Source organism: Homo sapiens, chromosome 15 (genome assembly GCF_000001405.40).
Source record: "Homo sapiens chromosome 15, GRCh38.p14 Primary Assembly".
Lineage (NCBI taxonomy): Eukaryota > Metazoa > Chordata > Mammalia > Primates > Hominidae > Homo > Homo sapiens.
Genome location: NC_000015.10, coordinates 96575418 through 96587303, shown reverse-complemented (window position 1 = coordinate 96587303; position 11886 = coordinate 96575418). Strand labels below are relative to the sequence as shown.

At 39.2% G+C, this 11886-nt stretch overlaps 1 annotated feature.

Annotated features, from left to right (window-relative positions):
• Window positions 240-2480: an enhancer, noted in NCBI's record as "VISTA enhancer hs1320". NCBI's record gives its function as "enhancer in: forebrain[3/8]" and the evidence as "EXISTENCE:transgenic organism evidence [ECO:0001131][PMID:17130149]".

Below are 11886 nucleotides of genomic sequence, written 5' to 3'. Positions count from 1 at the left end.
ACAACGACAAAAGCTTTCTCTACAGTTTGGGGTATAATTTCTTCTTGAAAGATAAATTTTTAAATATTCCATTCTTTTTGGGGTGGGGGGGAATTTAACTTTGCTTCTTTGGTTGGCTCACTCCACTTGGTTCTGTAAATTCACCCTGGCACTGCTTCTAGGATAGCATGACCACAGACATACGCAACCTGTTTTCACTTCCCATATTTCACTGTAAGGAGTCCTGCGTTGACCAGGGCTCCGCATTTTGCCTTTAATCTTACCATTTTGCTTTTTAAGAGTTCTCACTGTTTTGCACTGGAAATTTACCCTACCTCCAGGATCAACATATATCCTTCTGCTCACTCAGGACAAAAGCATGAGAAGCCTGATATTTCAACTAGAAAAGTCAAAACAGTTTGTAGATTTTTTAGAATGCTTTTTCTGCACCTCTGATGTTGTTCTGAAAAGACAAAATCCAATTTAAATTTGTACCAAGAAATAAGTAGAATAGATTCGTAACTTCCTCCACCTCCACCCGAAACAGCTGCAAACTGGTCTGTGGATGAATGTTTTAGACTATAGATTCAAAGTTTTCAATTAGAAACAATTTCATGGGATTCTTATTATGTAGACCATGATGTTATCTTTGCCTGGATAGAGGCTAATGTTTTGCTCTTTAACAATTTTTTTGCTTTTCCTTGGTGCTTCGCAGACCTTCAACATGGGAATACGTATGCCAAAAAAGGTTCCCCAGAACAGAAGGTGGCCTAATTATTAAAAGGAAGGGCCTTCCTGTGTGTGGTGATCTATTTGTGTGTAAGATTCTACAACTGTGAAGGGCCTCATGTACCATAGAAGGAAAAAAGAGATGGGAAAAAAAGGGGGGGTATCAAAGTCCTCAGTGGAGATACATCAGAGAGATTACATAAGAAGGGAAGCATAGTTTTAGAGCCCCCAGAATTCTTGACCAAAGAAGTAGTCCAAGGTCTACATCAAAAGAAAGTAGTGTCTGTGTCATCATAGCCTTCGCTGTGATCTTTTGCCCTCAGTCTCAGAGTAATCAAAAGTCATGCTTAAAAAAAAAAAAAAAAAAAAAAAAGGCTATCTCTTTAAAATTAGATCATCGCTCTGTATTAACATGCAGAATGAGTTGTCAATTGACCAAGCAACAAATGTACTTCCTCATATCCTCATTTTCACTTCTATCTATGAATATTTTAAAACCCTAATGTGCGCTTGGCCATTTGGGTTTTAAGAGAAGACTTATCACAGGGGTAAAACCCTTCATTTTTATCCCTTAGCTGAGGGCTTCTTTTTCCCTTTTCCAGGGTGTCATTAAAAATCTGATGCCAAGAGCTGGGACTTGGCAAGGTTTGCAATATAATTTGCAATCTGCAGTGTTTGCTGGCTAGCCCCCACCGCCCCCCCCCCTTTATTTTATTTTTTTCCCCTTACCAGCCTGCCTGCTAGAGTCAATAGGGGGCATCGCTCATCTGTCTAAAAGAAAAATAGCAGCATACTAATTAGAATTCTATTTGCCAGAAGCCTCGGAGTTGCTGTGCTTATAGATTTCAAGCTTCTTTTGTTTGAATTAAATTGCCAACTTTTTTTTCTTCCTTCTTTGCAGTAGCATGAGAGAGCGGGTGCCTTATTTGATTGAAGGGGGGTAGCGGGGAAGGTTGCATGCGGGAAGAGTCCTAGCTATGGAAATGCTGAGGAAATGTCAGGGTTGTGTTTTAAAATGCCTGGTATGCTTTTCAGGGGCTGACTCCTGTCTTTTGCAGAGTTGTTTTGGGGGAACTGGTGGGAAGGTGGAGAAGTTCAAAGGGTGGAGGCTAGCTCAGCAGCAGAGGCCCCCGGCCTGATGCTGAAATTCTGGGGGCGAGCTGACACACTTGCCCCGCAAAGCCAGATTGTTCATGCTCAGATAAAAACCCTGGGCTGGGATCACAAAGCTGGTTCATAATGGAACACGCAGTCTCTCTAGCTCTGTTGAATATTCCTCTCATGGGTAGGTAGATGAAACTGGCAAGACCAAGATGCAAAGAAAGGACCATCTTCAATAGTAACCTGTTTTTATGACCCTTTAATAAACTTCTCGTGGTCTCTTTTTAAAATGTCAAAAAGTTTCCCATGAAGAATGTGAAGGCAATACTCACGTTCTCTTTCAAAAATTACACACAGCAGAAAATGTGGGGTTCCAGAAAAGTACCAAAATGTTTCGGTGAGGAGCATAAAATGATTCAACATAATCCCATTGTCAGGAATTGCCACGTAAGTCCCAGTGTATCCCTCAATCCGATAAAGGCCTGGAACTAACCAAATGGAAGGCTAGACCTATGATTCCAACCCCACAGATACTTAGCAATTTGGCTCTCAACTAAGCTAATATAAAGGCTCACAGCAGCTCATTATTAAGTTAATTATCCTTTGAAACCCAAGAAACAAGAAACATAGACCCTACTGGATATTTAAGGACTTGGCAATGAAATTTGCAGTCCAAATGCAATTGTCTATAAAATAATGAGATATATTATATGTGAATGTGTAAAGACAACGTTGTATTATATATTATAAAATTGCATTGACCGATACAACATGGAGACTGGGGGTCCTAGTTTTAAGTAATTTTCTTAGGAGGGAAATATGTTGTTACAAAGCATTCCAGTGCCAGGACCAGTGTCTATGGTGAAAAATTGTTCATTTTTACATTTGCACCATAGACATTGAGGCTGGCACTGGAGTGCTGCATCCACCCCCATCTTCCAAAGAAATATGTCTCCTCCTGCATGTTTAAAGAGCGTGATCTCCTGGCAAAGTGTGAAAACCCCATGAGTTTTGTAAAAATGAACCGTAACCTCTACTGTTAGTGCCAACTTCTTAGCTACTTAGTGTATTTCTGTTTTTCTTTGTTAGACCATCCAATTCAAGAGAAAGGGATAAGATCTTATATTGGTGGACCTGTGAATTACATGGGAGACAGTTCAAAGGTAATTATCTTGAAGAAATTTGCTGACCAGAATATCTGCCTGAGCTCAAAATGCTTACAGATGTTAGAAACACATTCCTTAAGATTGACAAATTTTAATTGGAGTAGTTTTGGGGTCTGGGTCTTGCCCAAGCAAGAACTTACTTTGTACATGTCTCTCAAGAAGCAAACATTTTCAGATGTTTAGAAATGATTACATCCTGTACTTCAAATAGACATTTTTTTGTTACACATTTATTTTTTTCTCCCTCTATACACTCGTTTAAATTTCTTAATAGCACTCAAAGCTGGAAAGCAAAATACTGATGCTTACAGTATCGTGAAAAGCCTAGAGCCAACTCCACTCACATCTTCTTGAATTACTTTTCCAATTCTAAGACTCTAAGCATCCAGTTCTCCTTTATCTGTTCTTGTTATAAAAAGTGGCAGGAGGCAGAGTGGCAGAATGACCCACAAGATGGCACCTGTCACCAGGGGATTTTTCCTGCATTCTGTAGGCCAAATTTTGTTTGAACTCACTGTGGCCTCTGTCATATCCTCAATTTCCCTCCACTCTTGGCCCTACCTCTTAATCCCCTTGGTGCAGGCTGAGGCTGTTTACCCGGCTCCTGAAACCTTTTCCTTTGAGAAGCCAAAGTCAAACTTTAATTTGAAATCTGGGCTCAGAATGAAGCAGCAGAAACCGTGACCAGGTATTGGATATTGGGGTGCCATAGCAGCCTTCTTGTGCTTAGAGCCAGTGATGGAAAAGATTGCTTTTTTAAGACTGATTTTCCCTGTGGCATTACCCCCGACCCTAGGCCTCAAGATAAGGAAGCTGATTGCAACACTAATGAAACTATAGGATTTTGGTTTCTTTTAAGGCAAATGCATGACAAATGGATGAAATAAAAGCGTCTTGAAATGAGCCTGCTGCTTTTAACCATGGCTGGAATTAGGCATATATCTATGCATATTACATCCAAGTTCTTCATTTGCAAAGGAGTCAAAAATCTAATACAGGAAAAGGATAATGCTTTTGAAGAAACAACAGGTTTTTAATAAATAACTTTTCTCACACAACACAAGTACACAAATAATTTTATGATGTGTTTGGCAAATTAGAAATAGTTTCTGTTTCTCCAGCCACTAAAACTGTGTGATTTGGAGGAATCTGAATATCCAGGGATTCGTTCAGCAAGTGATTAGATGTCAGTGTATTAAGTCAGTCAGTGTGTGCGAAAGACTCTGTAACTGTGTTGGCCAAAGGTTAGTTTTATTATCAGAACCATGAGACGTCTTTAAATGTTAAAACCATTAACTTATTAACACAAGGATGAGGAGGAATATTACTTTATCAATATCTTTGAAATAAACTCAATTCGAATAACAGAATTTTTGTTTCATATTAATTAAATAGACTATTCGAAATAATTAAAAGCCAGGCTGGAAAAGGGGGCACAGTGCAGGCAGGAGCTGGTGGGGAGGCCACTCGTTCACACTGGAGCAGTGGCTGCATCTTATTCTGGTGGTGTCCAGGGAAACTGACAACTTCTCTGCACCAGCAGCCTGACACCTCTGCCTCTTTCGGTACCCCTGCCTCGCCAAGGCAGAGAAGGCGATAGAGGAAGTCTGCCACTGGCAGGGCACAGTGACCCATTGTGTGACAAGCCCCCGCCTCTTCCCTCAGCCCCTCAGGCGGGCAGGGGCTGTGGCTGTCCACAGTCCCACTGAGTTCTCTCTGCGTTTCAGCAATGGCGCCAAAAAGGGTCTTGAAGCATTGTAATTAAACTCATCTACAGCTGCTGTAATGAAACACATCGGAGAAACGCATTGCATGTCAAGGACAGCTAACGTTTGTGCTTCTTTCATAATCTTTTTTTTAATCATTGTCGTTTTCTGTGTTTCCTGTGTGAATACCATTACTTCTGCTTCTTTTAACTACCTTCCTGCTCACTTGGGAGTCATTTTTAAGGTCAGCCAGTATACATTAATCCTGCCTCCAGTAAAAATTTACTCCTCACGATAGAAAAGACAGGCCTATACAATAACACATGAAAAAGTCATTCATTATTTATTTTTAAAAAGCAAAAGGAATAGGCTGCCTTTTTGCCCATTACACAAGTGCTATATGAACACTGCAGAGTGTGTGTGTATGTGTGTGTGTTTATTACAGAAATACTATCCCCTATATCTCATTGCTTTTCTCATTATTTTAGGCTTTCCCCAAAAGAGGAATAAACAATAACATTTTCACAGCACTCAAATGGAATACCATTGATATCTTTCCTTTAAATTTGTCACCCATTTGCTTCTAGTGTTTGATGCTCTGCCTCTCCCGACAGATAAGTCATGTCTTTTTTTCCCTGAGAGACTGAACCACGCAAAGAAAGGGAGGGGCCGTAGCAGGAAAAGGAGCAAGAAGGAGAAGCTGAGATCTTTACTGTATGTGCATTTATCTGTCTCTAAGTAGGACTTGAATATAATTCGGTGAGACACTCCTCTCCCTTTTGAGCTGGGCACAAAAACAAGCTCATGAAATCAAACAAGAGGGCAAGAGCTTATCTTCCCCCAACAAATTTATCAAGAGAGAGTTTGTGGTGGGCTTATGAAACTGTCATGGAGGGACAAGGTAGAGATCAAATGTACTGTTGAGTAAGGAAACGAAGCACAAACTTTGCCCAGAGCTTGGGGACAATGATGCTCAAAGATTAACCCACCCTCTCAATTAACACCTCACATGAAAATCCCTGCAAGGTCATGGGATCTGTGCTTCGGTGCGGTCAATCAGCGCCGCCCGCCTCCATACAAACTGAGATCGAATGCAGAATTAACACCGGTCCCCAAGCCCTCGCTCACAGACTCACGTCAGATTAAGCCCTTGCACAGAGAAGATATGAAAAGCATTTCTAATTAGGGTCTGAGGTTACTGGTTAAAATGCAGTCGAGCAGTCTACCAACCATTCTTCTCCTTTTTTATAATTTTAATTAAACTCAGATACTATTTAATTCCTACCTGCATAGATTTAGTGCTACTTGAATGCAAACCTGATAAAGAATACTCCTGATCCCCACTTAGCTGCCACAAGGACTTATTAAAGAGGGGGTGACTGTCTCCAAGATCTTCCAGGAGTCCCTTTGCAATAATTACTTTTCTATCAAATGAAAAGCATAATATTTTTCTGTAAATAGGTTTTTTCCCTGTGAAACTTTGACTTCCCTACTCTCTTGACAAAATTGTAATTATAACTTCACTGTAGGGGTTACTTTACATCAGGCTAGCCATTAGAATGCTTTTTCTTGCATACCAAAGCTCTGTTTCCTCGTGGCTTACCGTAACTTGAGATAGACACTAGAGAATTTTTCCTACAAATGTATCACTAATTAGATGTGGATGTGTTGATTCTGTATTTTAAAAAAAATGCCATTGACCAGATCTTATTTGAATTATTAGGAATTCTGCAGTGTGTCTGAGTCCTTCTGCCATAGTCTGATTAGCAGTCTAGAGCCTTGGTACCAATTTTTAATATCTGCAGTGACCCCAGAAGCCTTAAACAACATCTTCGGCATACTGAAGCCTTGTTACTCCAAAGCACAGGTCTGAATAATTCAGGATCTGTGACAGCAGTTCTGCCTTTATGAAACCATGTGGGAGACTTTGCGATTCTAGCATCTGTAATGCTAGTTTCTTCTCCATGGCCTTTCTATTTCTCTCCCAGTGGTAGCTTCAAATAGCCACTGCTTCAAAAATATTTTTGTAAAGTCTTGCTGGAATGACAACAATATTCAAATGTATCCAAATAAGTTTCTGTTTTAAGTAATCATAGCAGAACTCCTGCTTAATTATGCAGGCCTAAAACCTCCCTTCAACTGGGTGGCAGTTAAAATATACTCTCATGTTTGATTTCTTAAAAGTGTTATTTGCCATTTTTAAGATTAAACGAAGTGAAAACAGGATGTGCTATCATTAGACAATCTATTTTACATTTAAGGAAAGACACTTTGAATAAATGACATGGGAAGAAATGTGCTTTACATTTCTACAGATTGGCTACCGATCTAAGCACAAGATTTGGAAAAGTTTGGAATCTTAGAATAACTAGAGCTTTAGGCACCACAAAATCCAAAATTTTAAAGGACTAGATGCAACCTTTTTTCCTCTCCCCCTTTTTCTCCATAAGCCACTGGCTGTAACTCAGAAGTACCCAAAAAGTGTCAGACTCTCAAGTAGTCAACTGGTACCCTGGGACCAGGGCATTAGCAGGGGTGTGTGCTCAGTGCTGTTTACAGAAGTGATCTGGAACTTGCTTGAGACTATGCTACAAAGGACCAAGTCTTACGCCGAGCATTTTGCCTGAGCCTCAGAGCATGAAGCTGGTGATTTGGCACACACATTGCATCAACAACAGGTTCTACTCTCCTCTAGAGAGCAAGTGCAAGAACATGTTGTGGGGGCAAGATGAGCTTGCTGAGGTTAGTGTTAACACTCTGTCTTCTCAAAGTTTCTTTCCTAGTCCACCTTTTCTGTCCTCACTGCCGTGAGTCTGTATCGTTCCTTTACCCATCTGTCACCTGGATTATTGCAAGAGATTAATAATTGCCCCCCTCTTCCTAATATATTTTCCCCTACTATAATCCATATTCAACCAATGATACATACTTCTCATGGTTCCCATTTCATACAGAATACCTTCACATCTACCTTCTATCTACTTGGCAAACCATGTGGCTTATACACCTCCATGAAGCTATCATCCAACCTACCAATATATGTGCAGAAACTTGAACACATTTTGAATTTTCCTATCTCAAGGTTTGGAAGGACAGCACAGTAACATGATAAAGAACAAACTGAGGCTGGGCACGGTGGCTCATGCCTGTAATCCCAGTACTTTGGGAGGTTGAGGTGGGCAGATCATCTGAGGTCAGCAGTTCGAGATCAGCCTGGCCAACATGGTGAAACCCTGTCTCTACTAAAAATACAAAAATTAGCCAGGTGCGGTGGCATGCGCCTGTAATCCCAGCTACTTGGGAGGCTGAGGCAGGAGAATAGCTTGAACCTGGAAGGAGAAGGTTGCAGTGAACCAAGATCATACAACTGCGCTCCAACCTGGGTGACAGAGTGAGACTCCGTCTCAAAAAAACAAAAACAGACTGGCATCCTCATTCCCCATTTCCTAGCTGGGTGACCATGGGAAAGTTACTTAACCTCTTGGTACCTCACTTTCCTCAACTGTAAACTGGGGCTAAGTATCCCTACCTATACACAGAATTGTGAGAAAAAGTGGGTTAGTGCCTATAAAGGGCTAAGAACAATGCCTGGCACAGAGTAAGTACTTCATTACTGCTATTTTTCAAAATATCATTCAAGCCACTCCTCGCTTGCCTGGAAAACCTTTCTAGTATCTGCCTGTTGAATACCCAGTGTTCTTTTAAGGCCTGTGTCCTCTACGAAATCCCTCCTGGTGCTCCCAGTGAGAATGGGGTAACTCTTTCTCTCCCATGTGCTCCTTCCAGCACCTGACACCCTGGCATTTATTACAGTTGTCTAAGCAGGTCAGCGGTTCTCTAGCTGTATGTCATGAAACAAGATCAGTTGGCCTCAGGTTTTGACCTGGGGGTAAAATATTCTCAAGCTACAACTGAGGATGCATGCTGGTCCTGGGGATGTCAGACAGATCAGAGCACGAGCTCCTGGAGGGCAGCCTGCGTCTGTTTTATCTTTGCATCTCCCATCACTCTAAGCACAGTGCTGTGAGCAGAGCAGATGCTTAGTAAATGTTTGTTAAATTAAATCTCAGGCAATTTGCTTCGATTTACTTAGAACTCCCTGGGTAAGTAATCAGTTCCTATGCCATTCAATGAGTTTTTAATAGCATTTACATTGGACTCGCCATATAGGTTAATCAAAACCAGCTCTCTTAGTCCCTGGTTCAGACTCAGGGATTTCACACAAAAAGACTCAGGTCAGTGCCTTTGCCTATCTTAACAGAGACTGAAACTGAATAGGAGAAGCCCTAACTCCCCGTAAATTTCTCTCCCGTTTGCTAAACAGGCATTTTAGAAAGAGACCCATTAGACAGGCCAATGGAGTCAAAGATTTGTTTCCAAAGAACGACCAGTTGTCTAAATTGTTGAAATGAATTGATTGTTTTTAGAAGGCTTTATGTTTTCAGAAATTGTGTAACATCGTTTCAGGGTTTATTGAAAATGTTCAAGTACTTGAAATTCAGAAAAAAAAGAGGGCCCAAAATTTAAACCCAAATATAATTACAAATATTTCTAACTACATCATCTCCATGAACATATCTGATATGAAAATTAAGTGAAATTAATTTGAATCTTAACTACTTTGCTGGATTTTTTTTTCTTTTTAAAAGAAAAAAAAGTTCCACAATAGTCAAATATAAAAAAGAAGAAAATTGGAGGTATAGACTTAGGGGTAAACAGAAAAATGAACGAAATCCTAGATGACTAAACATAGAGAAAATATTTTTTGAGGATCAAATGCTGCCGATGTATGAATCTTTTGCCAGTTATCTTGTTTGAAAAGATATTTCCAGGCTTCCTTGATTGAAATAAATATTTATTTGATGAGCACATATTGATTACCTATAATGTAGAAAACATAAAAATTATATTAACAAAATAAATTCCTCCAACTGTAACACCTGGAAATTAAAACCAATTTTGAGAAACACCTTGTGCCAAAGTCTTGGTTATGTTATCTCCTTTAATTCTCACACGGCTTCCAAAATTTCCCAATTATCCAATTGTGTAATGTACCTTCAGATAATTAAATGGGTTGACTTTCTAAATGAGATTATAACTACAAATACTGAAACTTTAAAAGAGCTCTTCCTTTGTATGACAGTTATGATTTCCATTGTATAGATAAGAAAACTGAGGTTCAAAGACAGTGATGGGTACTGTTGCACAAGTAGAAAACAACAGACATTTAAACCTGAGCATCTCTAATCTGAAGTCCAAGTGCTTTCCCCTACACGAGTTTGAGTCTTTCCTCAAGAATTGTCCCATTTATTCATGTATTCATTCATTCAGAAAATATTTATTGGAAGCCATTGATATGATTGTCATTTTTTTAAGGCTCTGGGAACACAGCAAGTAACAAAACAAAATTTCACCCTTTCTTTCCCCCGCCAGGACACAGGAGATATTGGTGGTGGAGACAGACTGAACTTTCTTCCCTACCACCACGGTCACTCTGCTTCCTTCCAGTATTTCTGATGTCTAATCTTTACATCATAACAAGCCTGCTTTGCCTTTTACTAGAGTAGAAGTGGGGAACTAGATATCAGGATATTATCTTTATTGAACCGACCCATATCTTCCATGATATTGTCTGCTACGATTTTCCCTTTGGTTATAACAGCTTCGAAGACAGAGGAATTTGTAATGGCAGAAATAAGTGAATATGAGAGAGATATGTGAAACCTGCGTCTTCAGTACCTTCTACCTTCATGCAAATGTTTATCAATGATTAACTTAACCGAGTGCATGCCTAAAATGGATGTTCCACATATTTTCCATCCAGGCGTCCATTTGACTCAAGGACACATGCTCCATGAGCAACATTTCAGATTAATGAGTGGAGGCCCACAGCAAAGCCAGGTTAATATATTTCCTTGTTGCCAAATCTGATAGTTTCCATCTGCTATATCACGCATTAATGTCCCAGAATGCTTAAGTTGCTTAATAGAGTAAATATGAAAATCACACAAGATTTTATTTCTCATAAAGTCTCTCTAAAGCAAAAGCTGCAAAGCAATATTCAACAACAGAACATCAACAATGACAATATAATAATGATAGGCAATGCTCTATCAAATACATAATTAATAAGTTAATTATTTTCTGTGTAATATCTGCATCCTACTGTGCAAAGTAACTGGATCTCGAAATTTTCAAAGATGACAAGATTATCATTATTAATGTTCTAGGACACATGTATTTATTTTTAATGTTATTAATGTTACTAATGATGGAGAATACAAGAGTCATTCTGAGGTAAGGAGGTGGTTCCTTCTGATGAGTCCACTTGGGTCTCAGAATTTAACATTCCTTATTGATTAATAATTTATCTGTGGCTTAAGCCAACTTTTTGTGTATCCCAGTTGTATATCCACATATATATTTGTCTACTAAATTACTTTAAAGAGCTCTAAAAATAATTGGCCTATTATCTCACACAGATAGTTGTGATTGAGATGGTTAGAATTTTAGAAATTATAAACATCAGAGTGCTTGTTTTATGCTTTTCTTTTTTCTCTGATTTTTTTTTCTGGCAGAGGAAAATCTTTGCCTTCTCAGCCTTAGACCTCAGAGATATATGATTAGTTAAATCTGTGGAAGATTTAAAATAGTTTATTTCCAAAAATTCAAGGCTACTCATAAATCTATGCTTCTCATGGCCTAGAGATTCGAGGTTTTCAATACGTAGCTACTCCCTTCACATGGCTACTAAGCACTTGAAATGTGGCTACTCTGAATTGACTTGTGCCATAAGTGTAAACTGCTCTCTGGTTTTTGAAGACTTAGTATAGAAAAGCCCCAAATTTGATTAATAATGTCTTAATATTTATTATATATTTAATTTATTTTGGACTTATTGGTCTATCTAAAATATTATTTAATTTTTTTTTACTTTTTAAATGTTGCTATGAGAAATTATATATGTAGTTCAAATAATATTTCTACTGGGCAGTGCTGCTCTACAGGTCAATCTTTGGAAGTGGCTATTAACCCATTTTACAGATGAGAAAATTCAAGTCACAGACCATGAGTGATGGACTGGGATATGAATTCAGATCATTTGGTTCTAGAAACCATGTTCTTAACCTCTGTACAATATTCCCTCAGAAACAGGCTCAGACCCCAAAGACTCAACTCCTTCCCCATGGATACCCTGAGCTCAG